Source organism: Homo sapiens, chromosome 19 (genome assembly GCF_000001405.40).
Source record: "Homo sapiens chromosome 19, GRCh38.p14 Primary Assembly".
In the NCBI taxonomy this organism is placed as follows: domain Eukaryota; kingdom Metazoa; phylum Chordata; class Mammalia; order Primates; family Hominidae; genus Homo; species Homo sapiens.
The window spans coordinates 18,112,503-18,126,501 of NC_000019.10; the positions used below are offsets into that span (position 1 = coordinate 18,112,503).

Genomic DNA, 13,999 nt, shown 5'->3' on the forward strand with positions numbered 1-13,999 from the left:
TTTTGTATTTTCAGTAAAGATGGGGTTTCACCATGTTAGCTAGGCTGGTCTCGAGCTCCCGACCTCAAGTGATTCTCCCGCCTTGGCCTCTCAAAGTGCTGGGATTACAGGCATGAACCACCAAGCCTGGCCTAATGTTTGTATTTTTAGTAGAGGTGGGGTTTCATTATGTTGGCCAGGCTGGTCTTGAACTCCTGACCTCAGGTGATCCACCCGCCTTGGCTTCCCAAAGTGCTAGGATTATAGGCGTGAGCCACTGCACCCCGCCTGAGATTTTTTTTAAGCCTCTGTGTCTGCCTTGGGGGGAGAAAGTTCTGCTGGGGCCAGGAATGGAGGTGGCCAGAGAGAAGGAGGTGGCTAGGACAACATCCAGGAACAAGTCGAGGCATCCACTGAGAATCAGAGACTGCCATCACCCCCATTTAGTGAAGAAAACAGGGGCATAGGACCTCAGAATGTGTTATCAGGAGCATCCTAGGAAGGTTTCGGGCCAGATCTGACTCTGTCTAAATCCTTGGCTTCCACCCCAGGTGAGGACATGATGAAGGGAGGGACCCGTGTGTTGGAGGCCGCTGAGCAGATTTGACCAGTTTTAACTGGGAGGGGAGGGAGGAAGTATCTGGGACTGAGAAAGGCCATAAGGCTGCCTCACTCACCACCGGGGGGCAGCAGAGCCACATTGCCTTGGGCCTGGCGGGGGAATGGGTCCCTGCCTGCCATGTTCCAAGCATCCTAGGAATAAGCTCATAAACGTCCCAACAGAGTCCAGCCTCTGCAACTCCCCTGCCTCCTTTTTTTTTTTGAGACAGTCTCGCTTTGTTGCCCAGGCTGGGGTGCAGTGGTGTGATCTCTGCTTACTGCCACCTCCGCCTCCTGGGTCAAGCGAGTCTCCTGCCTCAGCCTCCTGAGTAGCTGGGATTACAGGCATGCACCACTACACTCAGCTAACATTTGGGTGGTTTTTTTTGTTTGTTTGAGACGGAGTTTTCCTCTTGTTGCACAGGCTGCAGTGAAGTGGCACGATCTTGGCTCACTGCAACCTCCGCCTCCTGGATTCAAATGATTTTCCTGCCTCAGCCTCGTGAGTAGCTGGGATTACAGGCATCTGCCACCACTCCTGGCTAATTTTTTGTATTTTTAGTAGAGATGGGGTTTCACCATGTTGGCCAGGCTGGTCTCAAACTCCTGACTTCAGGTGATCCACCCGCCATGGCCTCCCACAATGCTGGAATTACAAGCGTGAGCCACTGCGCCTGGCCTGATCTTTATATTTTTAGTAGAGACAGGGTTTCACCATGTTGACCAGGCTGGTCTTGAACTCCTGACCTCAGGTGATCCACCCGCCTTGGCCTCCCACGGTACTGGAATTACTGGCATGAGCCATTGTGCCTGGCCTTGCAACTTCCCTGCTTCCATCCTATCCATCTCCCCGTCGCTCACTTGGCTCCAGCCACATGGCTGATCCTCCAGAATGCAGGCTGGTCCAGCCTCAGGGCCTTTGCACTTGCTGTCCCCACTGCCCAGAGCTCTGTTCCCTCCTTTCTTCTTCCGTCACATCCTCATCAAGGCCTCAGCCTCAGATAGGAAGCCTTCCCCAACCACCCCCTCCTTCCAGGCCCCACAAACATGGGGTATAATATGCATTATACCTGTCCATTTCCACATCCAGACCCCAGGGATTTTCTTTTTCTTTTTTTTTTTTTTTAAGACAGTCTTGCTCTGTTACCCAGGCTGGAGTACAGTGGTGCGATATCTCGGCTCACTGCAACCTTTGCCTCCTGGGTTCAAGTGATTCTCCTGCCTCAGCCTCGAGAGTAGCTGGGATTACAGACATGCGCCACCACGCCCTGCTAGTTTTGTATTTTTAGTAGAGACAGGGTTTCACCATGTTGGCCAGGCTGGTCTCGAACTCCTGAGTTCAAGCGATCTGCCCATCTCAGCCTCCCAAAATGTTGGGATTACAGGCATAAGCCACGGCACCCAGCCAACCCCAGAGATTTAATTTCCACATTGTCTTGTGTGATTATCCAGTTATTTTTCTCACCCAGAGGTTTGACAGCCTCTCCGAGACCAGACCTTGTCTGTCCTGGTCATATCGTAGACTCAGGGCAGGCCCAGGGTGTATACAGCAGGTGCTCAGTTAATGCATGTGGCTTAGATGAATGGGCAGTATCTGGGAGGGCTGTCCTTGTGGTAGTGATAGCATTGGGGGTTGGGGGTGTTGTTGAAGAAGGCCATGAGTTGGGCGCTCATAGGCAAAGTGGCTGTTCCAGGCAGCAACAGCATCGTCAGAGACACTTTCCTTCTGGAGCCTCAAATCCCAAGGGCAGGAAGAATGTGGATTTTCTACCTAGGGCACTAGGAGCCATAGAGTGTGGTGCTGGGAGCGGCACAGATATATGGGCAGGTGGGAAGCGCTGGGGTAGTCCCACTAAAAAGGGACCGTTGAACGGGGGTGTCTGTATATCTACCTGAGACTTTGGCATTTACAGTCACAGCACATGCAGGGAGAGTCAAATGCCAATGTCACAGAGTTTGTCAGGGACAGGGCTAGGATATGACCCCTGGGAGAGGGATTCACCCAGGAATGCAGTTTTGTTTTGCTGTGAGAGCAATAGGGAGCCATGGAGGGTTTGTGAGCAGGGGGAAGGGCATGATCTGGGGAGCAGTGGGCCGACACCAGAGATCAGTGGCTCAGCCAGCCTTTCATGGAAGGCCTTCACCGTGGCAGCAGGCCCTCTGGATTGTCAGCTGCAGCCCTGTTTTGCAGAGGGGGAAACTGAGGACAAATGAGCATGGGAGAAGGTTCTCTCCCTGCTACAGATGTCAGGGCAGTGGGTGTATGTAATAGGGGGTGTGTAGGTGTTACTGGGTGTAGCTGTGGCTGGGGACGAGGGGGCAGCGCCTTTACCGAGTGTGTGCAAAGGTGTGTCCCCGTGCATATGGGGTGGCTCAGCACGTAGTGACAGCAAGTGGAGACTGTGGCCCCATCCCCACTTGGGTCCCCAGACTCAAGAGAATCTGCACCCCGCATGAGGCTTGGGCTGCATACCTGGGGGTCATAGGTGACCACTCCCATACTCATCACCATCTCTGGTGGTCTCAAAACCACCATCTCCCCTGGTCTCAAAACAAGTCCCAAATCCACCCACTTTTCTCCACAGCTTCAATATTCCCCTCCCAGACACCGTCCCAGACCCTTACTGGCCTCCTGCTACCTTCATTCCTGTCCCCCAGCAGTCTGCTCCCCATAGCAGACACAAGGGGGTTTACAAACGTAGTCCACATCATACCCTTTCTCTGCTCAAGCACCCTCCATGGCTCCCCATTGCTCCTACAATACAATTGCACTCCTCCCTGCAGCCCACAAGGCTTATGTGGTCAGCCCCGCTGGCATTTTGCCCTCAGTGCTGCCTCAGAGAGTTGTGCCCTTTGCCTGGGACACGCTTTCTGCATAGCCAGCTCCTTCCTCCTCCATTTCTGGCTGGCTGCAGCATTACCTCCTCTGAGAGGCCTCCTGGCTAAAGTCGCCCCTTGCAGTGTTCTCTCCTTTCTCTTCCCTTCTCAGCCTTGGTATTTGAAATTATCTTTTTTTTTTTTTTTTTTTTTGAGACGGAGTCTCGCTCTATCACCCAGGCTGGAGTGCATTGGTGTGATCTCGGCCCACTGCAACCTCCACCTCCCGGGTACAAGTGATTCTACCACCTCAGCCTCCAGAGCAGCTGGGAATACAGGCATGCACCACCATGCCCAGCTATTTCTTTTGTACTTTTATTTCTTTTATTTTTTATTTTTTTTTATTTTTTTGAGACAGAGTTTCGCTCTTGTTGCCCAGGATGGAGTGCAATGGTGCTATCTCAGCTCACTGCAACCTCCGCCTCCTGGGTTCAAGCGATTCTCCTGCCTCAGCCTCCCAAGTAGTTGGGATTATAGGGACGTGCCACCACGCCCAGCTAATTTTGTATTTTTTTTAGTAGAGACTGGGTTTCACCTTGTTGGCCAGGCTGGTCTCAAACTCCTGACCTCAGGTGATCCGCCCGCTTCGGCCTCCCAAAGTGCTGGGATTACAGGCGTGAGCCACCACGCCCAGCCGAAATTATCTTGCTCATTGAATTGTTTCCTGTTGGCTGGGCAAGGTGGCTCACGCCTGTAATCCCGGCACTTTGGGAGGCCAAGGCGGGAGGATCACCTGAGGTCAGGAGTTTGAGACGAGCCTGGCCAACATGGTGAAACTCCGTCTCTACTAAAAATACAAAAAAATTAGCTGGGCGTGGTGGTGCAACACCTGTAATCCCAGCTTCTCGGGAGGCTGAGACAGGAGAATCGTTTGAACCCAGGAGGCGGAGGCTGCAGTAAGCTGAGACTGCGCCATTGCATTCCAGCCTGGGCAACGAGAGCGAAACTCTGTCTCAAAAAAAAAAAATTTGTCTCTTTAGCTATGAAGCCTGGGCCCCAGCATTGGGCCTGGACTGGGTCCCAAAGTGTCCTGTGGCCCAGGAAGGGGCATCCCTCATGATGACACTGCCCCTGACTTGCCTGGGCTGTCATGACAGGAGGAAGCATTAATTCAGTCCTTACGGTGGGAGACACTTCTGCTTCCATAGTGAACACATATTGTACCCTCAGCCCTGTTCCAGGCTCTGTGTCTCAGATTTTATTCTGTTTTCAGTATGGGGGATGTTACGCATGGGGAAACAGAGGCCTGGAAGTTAGCCTGATGCTATCGTTTATAGAGATAAATTATATATAGATATGGAACATATACCAGGTGCCCTTGGAAGCGCCCCCTTACATCTGATTTGTGTAATTCTCATGTCAGTTCAGTTTTCCTCCAATTTCACAGTTGAGGAGACTGAGGCTGGAGTTCAATCAGGTGGCTGCTTCCTAACTGAGGCAGGGCTGATGGCCTTTCCCGCCACACACAGACAGAGCATGTCAGACGCCCCGACTCAATTTGCCAAACACACCCTCTATGCCAGTCCGGTGCTGGGAGCTGCTGGGACCCTAAGGAGCCCCCAGCCTGGGGAAGACATAGCCGGACAGACAGGAAAGCGGGTTTTTCAGAGGAGAGGACGCAGTTTTGCCAGGCTAGATTCCAAGCAGTGGGGCCAGGGTGGGCGTGGTAGCATGAGCCGGCCAGGACGCTGGGGTGGGTCTTGGGTGCCGCACTGAGAAGGGGTCAGTGCTCTGGGAGAGAGGAAAAAGATGGAGGGAGCGATTAGATTTACATTTTAGCAGAAAGGAGCCAAAATGCCTGCCCCTAGCTCGAGGTTAAGGTGCTGCCAACGCCCCGCCCCCGCCGCCCGCGGTCGTAGCAACGCCCGGCCTCAGCCGCCCGCGGCCCTAGCAACGCTCCGCCTCTCCGCCCGCGGCCATGGCAGCGCCCCGCCCACTCGCCGGCACGCGGGTCCGCCGGCCTCGCTTCCGCGTCGCTCGCTCCGCCTCCCGACAGGCCCCGCCCCCAACGGCCCCGCCCCCGCACTCGCCTGGGCGGAGTTCCAGTCGCGCTCGGGGGCGCGCGCTTCCTTCTCGCCGCCCCCCCATCCCCGCAGCCCCGTGCGCCCCCCTCCCTGTCCGGCTCCGCGGGGCTCCTGGGGCCGATCCCACCGCCGAGGCCTCCCTTCCCGGCCTCGGGCGGCTGCGGCGGCACAAAGGGAAGCAGCATGTCCGACCCCAGCTACTGGACGGCGGTGGCGGCTCCCGGCCATCGGAGCCGCCTGGCAAAAGGCGCGCTGCTGCAGCGCTCCAAGAGGTAGGGGGCACGGCGCCGGCGAAGGCTCGGCGGCCAGCCGAGCAAACAGGAGTTGCCAGAAGTGTGTCCTGGCCGCGTGGCGCGGACCACGGCGAGCGTCTGTCTGTGGCAGCAGTGGGAAGGGGGGAGGACGCCTGTGGATCGAGGTGTCCCCTGGGGTCCCTGGCACCCTCCTTTCGCCCCTCGTTCCCTGGACTGGGGTGTCTGTCCGCCAGCGTCGCAGCTGGGGTGGTGACAGACAGGAGTGAGTTGAGATTGAGCTAGGATTTGAACCCGGGTGTCCAGGGCTGGGCAGAACCAGGGAGGAACTTCTTGGAAAAACTGAGGCTGATCTGCCGCTGGGGGTCCATTCAGCAGAAATGTTGGCTCAGAAGCAAATATTTACTGCACGAGGCTGGCATTTGGGTGGGGTGTCAGGAGTCCAGATAGTTGGGGTTAACCCCCGCCAAAGCCTCACCGCTCTTGGAGTCTCAGTTTCCCCTTTTGAAAAGCAGAGAGGATAAGTGAGGGCTGTGGATTCTACCAGACCTGGGTTCAAATTTCGACTCAGCCACTACCAGGCTGTGTGACCTCAAGTAGCTCCTTAACCTCTCTGTGCTTGGGTTTCTCATTGGTGCTGGACTGGGGCAAAGTCTGGGCGGTGGGACCAGCTACCGAAAGACCTTGAATGCTGAGTCCAGGGCTTAAACTTACCTCCAAGATCGTGGGGAGCATTGGAGGGGGAATATGGGTGCCAGAGGGATGAGGTGCAGGAGGCTGGCTTCAGGCCCCTGCTTTCTGCCACATTCTCTCTGTTGTGTCCTGGGTACCAAGAGAGGATCGTTCTCAAATGGCAACTTCTCGAGGTCCTGGATCTCCTCCAGGAAGAGTTGAACAAACAGTCGGCCCTGCATAGATGCTTGGGAAGTGAACAGATGATGCTTAGTTCTCCTTTGAGGCCTCACATTTGGCCGTGTTTTCAAGAAGACCTCGCCCAAGAACAGGAGGGAGGGCAACGAAGTGTTTTTCCCAAATGCTTTTGGAAGCAGCAAGTGATACAGCAGGATCGGGGAGGGAGGGTGCTGGTGGTGCAGTGTGGGGGCGAGGAACCAGGTGAGGGGCTGGGAGAGGATGTGGAGACAGCCAGGTGAGCGTGCATTGAGGGGTTGGCAGGAAGTTTTGCAGAAACCTGTGGGTTTCACTTTTGCTTCTGCAGCTCAGGCTGGGAGACAATCACTGTGACTGTTGACATCTGTGGCTTCAGTTTCCCAGTCTGGAAAATGGGCTCAGCTGGTCATTCCCAACTCTGGGGCTTGTTGGAATTGGCAGATGTTGGGGATGTAATTCACTCAGGAGGCACTGGCTGCCCTCCCGGCGTGAGCCAGGCCCTGTGAGCATTGTCTAGGCAAAGACAACAGTGTATGTACCCGAGTCCGACCCAAAGCTGAGCACTGGATGTGGTAGGTTTCATCCTTCAAGGTAGAGATGAGGAAACAGGCTCAAGGGGCAGCCACATGTGGAGACGTAGACAGGCTGGGCCTCTTCTCCCTGCCCACCTTGTCACCTGTGTCCTTTGATGATCATACGCTTGTTCTCCCATGGATTGACCTGCTCCGAGCATTCTGCCTGGGACCCCATTTCTGCACCTCGGAGGCCCCGAGACTTCATCTCTCCCTCCCCGCGAGATTCTCCCGCCGCTGAGCTGCGTTGGCGGCTTGGGGTGTGTGGGCTGATGCTCTTGTGGAGCAGAGCTGTTGCTGGGCAACTGCTCTGGTGGGGCGGGGGACGGTGTCGCTCCCAACTTCCTTCTGTCAAGGTGTGGGCTGAGGCCAGGGCCCAGGTGGGAGAAGAAGCCAGGCAGGGTGTGAGAGACCTGGGCCAGGGATCTGGTGGCCAGAAGGGAACTGGGATGGAAAGAGGAAAACGTGGGCAAAAGTTCAGCAGAAGAGGCAGGACTGTGAAAGAGGTTGCATTTAGGGTTTCTAGTTGGGTCACATTGGCATTTTAGGGGCATCTTGAGAAGAAGGAGGGTTGTCAAGAGATGGGAGCAGGGGCTTCAAGAGGGGTATATAGAATGGGGTGTCTCAGCCCATATCTGGGCTCCAGGGTGTGTTTGGTTCACCTGATTTGCTGGTGCTGCTGGCAGTAGCCATGGTACAGGGAAAAGTGTGGGGGTGGGACTGTGACACAGAACCCTGAAAAGCTGGTCCAGGGGCTCCTGGCCATATGTAGTGTCCTCCATCAGGCTAGAAGCACTTCATGCCATTGCTGTTAATAACAACACTGCCAATAGTTTGTGTTGGTTTTTGTTATTGTTTTTCAGATGAAGTTTCACTCGTGTCGCCCAGGCTGGAATGCAATGGCACTATCTCAGCCCACTGCAACCTCCGCCTCCTGGGTTCAAGTGATTCTCTGCCCCAGCCTCCTGAGTAGCTGGGATTATAAGCATGCACTACCACACCTGGCTAATTTTTGGTTTTTTTGTTTTGTTTTGTTTTGTTTTGTTTTTTGAGACGGAGTTTCACTCTTGTTGCCCAGGCTGGAGTGTAACGGCACGATCTCACCACAACCTCCACCTCCTGGGTTCAAGCGATTCTCCTGCCTCAGCCTACCAAGTAGCTGGGATTACAGGCATGCATCACCACGCCCAGCTAATTTTGTATTTTTAGTACAGAAAGGGTTCCTCCCTGTTGGTCAGGCTGGTCTCAAACTCCTGATCTCAGGTGATCTACCCACCTCGGCCTCCCAAAGTACTGGGATTACAGGTGTGAGTCACCATGCCCGACCTAATTTTTGTGTTTTTAGTAGAGACGGGTTTCACCATGTTTACCAGGATGGTCTCAAACTCCTGACCTCAGGTGATCCGCATGCCTCGGCCTCCCAAAGTGCTGGGATTACAGGGATGAGCCACTGTGCCCAGCCTTGTTTTTGTTTTTTTAAGAGAGAGGGCCTTGTGCTGTCACCTAGGCTGGAGTGCTGTGGCACCATCATGGCTCACGGCAGCCTTGACCTCCTGAGGCTCAAGCGATCCTCTTGCCTCAGCCTTCTGAGTAGCTGGGACTACAGGCGTGCACCACCACACCCAGCTAATTTTTAAATTTTGTATAGAGACGGGGTCTTGCTATGTTGCCCAGGCTGGTCTTGAACTCCTGGCTTCAGAGGATCCTCCCACCTTGGCCTTCCAAAGCACTGGGGTTACTGGCGTGAGCCACCATGCCTGGCCAGCAGTAGTGTCAATAATAAGGAATGTTAGTTGAGGGGTGATTCCCTCCTGGGCCTTGAAGACCTGGCTAAGGGCCATGGGGGAACCCAGCTGGGGGCAGAGTGGGAGTGGCCATGTCCAACATCCCATCCTTCTCCAGAACGGGCTGCGAGTGTGATTTAGGCTGGGCAGGTGGCTTAGCGCGGGGCCCTGGGCAGCCACCTACCCTGTCCCCTTTTCCCCCCACAGCTGCCGCAGCGGGAACCGCAAGAGCTTGGTGGTAGGAACGCCCTCCCCGACCCTCTCCCGGCCCCTGTCGCCATTGTCGGTCCCAACGGGTGAGTGTGGGAGCAGCCAGCGGGTGCTGTGTCCTGCCTCTGCCCCGCTGACTCAGTTTCCCCGCCTCCTCCTCAGCAGGCAGCAGCCCCTTGGATAGTCCTCGGAATTTCTCGGCTGCCTCTGCCCTAAATTTCCCCTTTGCCCGGAGGTGAGTGATTGCCGGCTTTGGGAGACAGTGCGGGCACCACGGGCAAGGGTTGGGCAGGGGCACGTGCTCGGTGGCTAGACCTGGCTCCTCATTCATTTCATTCACCTTTTCCCCTCCCCTGGCCCGTCTGGTGGTGGTCTCCCCCTCTGGCTCCCATTCCCGGCAAATGCATGCCATCTTGCAGCCACATCCCACGCATGGACAGGTAATTTCAACCAGCCCAGGGGGTGGGGGGTCATGGGGGGATATAGCCCTAAGAATCATTAACTCACTAAAGAAATCATTCATTCATTCACTTAACAAGAGCTGATTGAGCACCTGTCATGTGCCAGACGCTTGCATTTCATTTATTTATTCATACAACAACATTCATTAAGCACCCACTGTGTGTATGCTCTGTGCTGCGGGCTGAGGGCATGGTCGCAAATGGGCAGCTGGCCCTGAGCCCCTGGGGAGTCCTCCGTTTGGTGGGGGGTGGTCAATGTGTGCCCCAGAAGCTACAGCTCAGAGGTTGAAGCTTTGACAGGGGACACAGTGGCAGCTGGACTCACGGGGGGGCTTCCTGGAAGAGGTACCTAAAGAGAGAGAGCATGCAGTGGACTTGGTCAGCCTGTGTCTCTGTTCTTGGTTATTTTCAGGAGATCCTTCCTACAACAGGGCCAGAATATGCTGGCCACAGTGTCTGTTCTTAGTCCCCACAAACCACAGGGGCCAGGCCTTCCTTCCATCTGTTCTTGTTCCCCTCTCCAGGGCAGACGGCAGAAGATGGTCCCTCGCGTCTCTCCCATCTTCCGGCTATGGAACCAACACACCCAGCTCCACCCTCTCGGTACCCATAGCCCCACCTTGGCAGGTGGACAGGCAGATGCCGGGTTGTGGGGGGACACATCTTTGTGTGTTTTTTTCAAGGTGTTGGATAGTTGTGCAGTCAGCAAACATACTAGTTACTTCCTCCATGCACGCCCCATTCTGGGAAATGCAGGGTCCCCTGAGAAGACCCAGCCTTGGCCCCAAAATAGTCCCTGGTTGGGGAGATACAGATATCCTCAGCCTATGGGGTCAGGGCCTGACCAGAGGGGGACTTGGGGCTGCCCAGGGGTACAGGCAGAGAGGACTTCCTGGAGGAGAGGGCATCAGAGCTAGGGTTTTGAGGGATGCATAGGAGCTAGGCAGGAGAAAGGATGTTACCTTCTGATGGCCAGCAGGCAGCCTGGGCCTTGAGGGGTGGTGCTGGGTTCCTGGCCACAGCACTGACGGTGAACTCATGGCTCTGATCCCCACCACTCTCTACCAGTCAAGCTCATCCTCCCGGGAACGTCTCCACCAGCTTCCCTTCCAGCCGACGCCGGACGAGCTGCACTTCCTGTCCAAGCACTTCCGCAGCTCAGAGAATGTGCTTGATGAGGAAGGCGGCCGGTCACCCCGCCTCCGACCCCGCTCTCGCAGTCTCAGGTGGGCCGCGACCTCTGGCCCCAGCCCCGGCCCCTCCCTGGGCTGGTGTGGAGGCCCAAGTTGTGGCTCCTCCTTCACCCCAGCCCTGACCCTGCCTGAGCCTAGCCTCTGATTCTTGTCCCTCAACCCTGGCTCAGATCCCCCAACATCCTCCCCTGGGGTTGGTCTCAGGTCCCATATCACAAGCCAGCTGTCTTCCTTTCAGCCCGGGCCGTGCAACGGGGACCTTCGACAATGAGATTGTCATGATGAATCACGTGTACCGGGAGAGGTTCCCCAAGGTGGGCAGCGCCTGGCGGCTGGACCAGCCCCTGCACTTCTTTCCACATTGCTGTCCCTCCATGGAACTCTGTCTTCCTGGCTATGTCCCCTTTGCCAGTCTGTTCATTTCTGTCTTTCCTTCCCCTTCCGTTGAAAGATGTCGTTCCTCCTGCACCAGCCCTCCCACCCGATCGCCCCATTGCCCCATCTCCTCTCTCCCCAACCATGCCTCTCCTGCCCCATTCTGCGTGTGTCACTCCAGCCCCGCCCTCTGACCAGGTCGCCCCGTCTCGCCCCACCCAGGCCACAGCACAGATGGAGGGCCGTCTGCAGGAGTTCCTGACGGCCTACGCGCCCGGCGCCCGGCTGGCGCTGGCTGATGGCGTCTTGGGCTTCATCCACCACCAGATCGTCGAGCTGGCCCGAGACTGCTTGGCCAAGTCTGGCGAGAACCTCGTCACCTCCCGCTACTTCCTAGAGATGCAGGAGAAGCTGGAGCGGCTTCTGCAGGATGTGCGTGGTTTTTCGCATGTTGAGGTTTTGCATGCAGTGGGACGTGGAGTGAGGGGGGTCCCCAGGCCAGACGGTGCTGAGGACCTGTGGGTGATGCCACGACCCACCTCCCCCAGGCCCATGAGCGTTCGGACAGTGAGGAGGTCAGCTTCATCGTCCAGCTTGTCCGGAAACTGCTGATCATCATCTCACGGCCAGCTCGGCTGCTGGAGTGTCTGGTAAGTTTCTCTTTCTACGGCCAGCTTGGGGTCCAGGCAGAACTGAGATTGGGACCACAACAGTCCTGCCAAGATACAGGTGACAGTTCCCATCGTGTAGGGCTTTGAGAGGAACACAGGGTGCTATTGGGCTAGCGTGGGCTTCCCTAAGGAGGCAGCGGGAGTGGAGACCCAGTGGGTGAGCTGGGAAGGGTGCTCCAGGCAGAGGGAACAGCATGTGCAGAGGCCTGCAGGTGGAACCAAGCCCTGGGTGACCAGCCCTCCTGTGCCCCTAGGAGTTTGACCCTGAGGAATTTTACCACCTGCTGGAGGCGGCTGAGGGCCATGCGCGGGAGGGCCAAGGCATTAAGACTGACCTTCCACAGTACATCATTGGGCAGCTGGGCCTGGCCAAGGACCCCCTGGAGGGTAAGCCGGGATGGGAAGAGGAAACCAAGGCTGGGAAAGGCCGGATGGAGGCCAGGCACGGTGGCTCACACCTTTAATACCAGCACTTTGGGAAGCTAAGGCGGGCAGATCACTTGAGGCCAGGAGTTCGAGACCAGCCTGGCCAACATGGTGGAAACCCCCCCCCTACTAAAAATACAAAAATTAGCTAAGTGTGGTGGCGCATGCCTGTAATCCCAGCTACTCAGGAGGCTGAGGCACAAGAATTGCTTGAACTCAGGAGATGGAGGTTGCAGTGAGCTGAGATCGCGCCACTGCACTCCAACCTGGGCGACAGAGCGAGACCCTGTCTCAAAAAAACAAAAAAAGAAAGGGCAGATGAAGCCAGGATTCAAACCCAGGCCCATCCGATTCCAGAACCACCGCACTGTTCTTTGTCTCTCTGTGGCCTTGCTCTTAGGTCACCTGTGGGAATTATGCTGAGACCCTCTGATCTTTTGGGGCCCAGGGGCCTCAGTGTCCTCAAATGCCACGTTAAGATGGTCAGGAAGCCTGGGGACCAGTGTTAGCAGTGGCCTTCCCTTTGTCCTGCAAATTCACAAATGACTTTACCAATTTCTGTGGCCTTTACTGTGGCCCAGAAAGTGAACTTGGAGTCAAACAGGACAACCCGTAGGTAAGAAGACGGTCAAAAACTCCCACAGCCGGCCGGGTGCGGTGGCTCACGCCTGTAATCCCAGCACTTTTGGGAGGCCGAGGTGGGTGGATCACAAGGTCAGGAGTTCAAGACCAGCCAGGACAACATGGTGAAACCCCATCTCTACTAAAGATACAAAAATTAGCCGGGTGTGGTGGCGTGTGCCTGTAATCCCAGCTACTCGGGAGGCTGAGGCAGGAGAATCATTTGAACCCTGGAGGCGGAGGTTGCAGTGAGCCGAGATCACACCACTTCATTCCAGCCTGGGCAACAGGGCAAGACTCTGTCTCAAAAAAAAAAACAAACAACTCCCACAGCCAGCCAGGTGCAGTGGCTCACGCCTGTAATCCCATAATCCCAGCACTTTGTGAGACTGAGGCGGGTGGATCACTTGAGGTCAGGAATTCAAGACTAGCCTGGCCAATATGCAGAAACTCCATCTCTACTAAAAACAAATATTAGCCGGGTGTGGTGGCATGTGCCTGTAGATCCCAGCTACTTGGGAGGCTGAGGCAGGAGAATCGCTTGAACTCAGGAGGCAGAGGTTGCAGTGAGCCGAGATCACGCCACTGTGCTCTAGCCTGGGTGAAAGAGTGAGCCTACATTTCAAAAAAAAAAAGATGTAGCTGGGTGTAGTAGTGCGCGCCTGTAGTCCCAGCTACTCAGGAGGCTAAGGTGGGAAGATCGCTTGAGCTTGGCAGGTTGAGACTGCAGTGAGCTATGATCACACCACTGTCCTCCAGCCTGGGTGACAAAGCCAGACCCTGTCTCAAAAAGAGAAAAAAAAAAATTTCCACAAATAGCCAGGATAAGAGGAACTGAAAGCTGGAGCATTGAACTTGGACCTAGCCTGGTCCAGCAGTAGCCAGGGGGAGGCTCTGGGAGGAGGCAGTGTTCAAACTGAGGCCTGGAGGGCAGGAGGTGACCAGGTTGCAGATCCAAAGGAAAGAGTGAAACAGGCAGCATAGGCATAGACCCTAAGGTTGGACCATACCTGGAGTGGGACTGACCTGCCACTGTCCCCATTGAAAGCTGGGGAGGCCCGGCATGG

At 55.8% G+C, this 13,999-nt stretch overlaps 1 protein-coding gene across 42 annotated transcripts in view, besides 5 other annotated features; it reads left to right on the forward strand.

Moving 5' to 3' along the window:
- The window catches only part of MAST3 (microtubule associated serine/threonine kinase 3), a 53,910-nt gene that overhangs the window by 14,725 nt on the left and 25,186 nt on the right, over positions 1 to 13,999 (forward strand). For 9 of the 42 annotated variants that reach the window (XM_047438474.1, XM_047438477.1, NM_001393509.1 and 6 more), the window contains 9 exons: positions 9,183 to 9,271; positions 9,351 to 9,420; positions 9,605 to 9,625; positions 10,171 to 10,249; positions 10,715 to 10,872; positions 11,078 to 11,153; positions 11,437 to 11,646; positions 11,763 to 11,864; positions 12,140 to 12,272. In XM_047438474.1, the coding sequence (XP_047294430.1) occupies positions 9,183 to 9,271; positions 9,351 to 9,420; positions 9,605 to 9,625; positions 10,171 to 10,249; positions 10,715 to 10,872; positions 11,078 to 11,153; positions 11,437 to 11,646; positions 11,763 to 11,864; positions 12,140 to 12,272 (938 nt within the window). Of the gene's footprint in view, positions 1 to 5,484; positions 5,753 to 9,182; positions 9,272 to 9,347; positions 9,421 to 9,604; positions 9,626 to 10,170; positions 10,250 to 10,714; positions 10,873 to 11,077; positions 11,154 to 11,436; positions 11,647 to 11,762; positions 11,865 to 12,139; positions 12,273 to 13,999 lie in introns of those variants that run through there. The other 33 variants (NM_001393504.1, XM_047438482.1, NM_001393515.1 and 30 more) reach the window with 7 other exon arrangements.
- Positions 5,207 to 5,666: a silencer, noted in NCBI's record as "silent region_10372". NCBI's record gives its function as "represses an Ori minimal core promoter by ATAC-STARR-seq in GM12878 lymphoblastoid cells {active_cell/tissue: GM12878}" and the evidence as "EXISTENCE:reporter gene assay evidence [ECO:0000049][PMID:35858748]".
- Positions 5,207 to 6,270: a biological region, named in NCBI's record as "H3K27ac-H3K4me1 hESC enhancer GRCh37_chr19:18228711-18229582".
- Positions 5,399 to 6,270: an enhancer, noted in NCBI's record as "H3K27ac-H3K4me1 hESC enhancer chr19:18228711-18229582 (GRCh37/hg19 assembly coordinates)". NCBI's record gives its function as "activates a minimal SCP1, AML or CMV promoter by ChIP-STARR-seq in primed H9 embryonic stem cells {active_cell/tissue: H9 hESC(primed)}" and the evidence as "EXISTENCE:reporter gene assay evidence [ECO:0000049][PMID:30033119]".
- Positions 5,757 to 5,806: an enhancer, noted in NCBI's record as "active region_14299". NCBI's record gives its function as "activates an Ori minimal core promoter by ATAC-STARR-seq in GM12878 lymphoblastoid cells {active_cell/tissue: GM12878}" and the evidence as "EXISTENCE:reporter gene assay evidence [ECO:0000049][PMID:35858748]".
- Positions 9,658 to 10,857: an enhancer, noted in NCBI's record as "BRD4-independent group 4 enhancer chr19:18232970-18234169 (GRCh37/hg19 assembly coordinates)". NCBI's record gives its function as "activates an origin of replication core promoter dependent on BRD2, P300/CBP, MED14 and CDK7 cofactors, and independent of BRD4, by STARR-seq in HCT116 cells {active_cell/tissue: HCT116}" and the evidence as "EXISTENCE:reporter gene assay evidence [ECO:0000049][PMID:35650434]".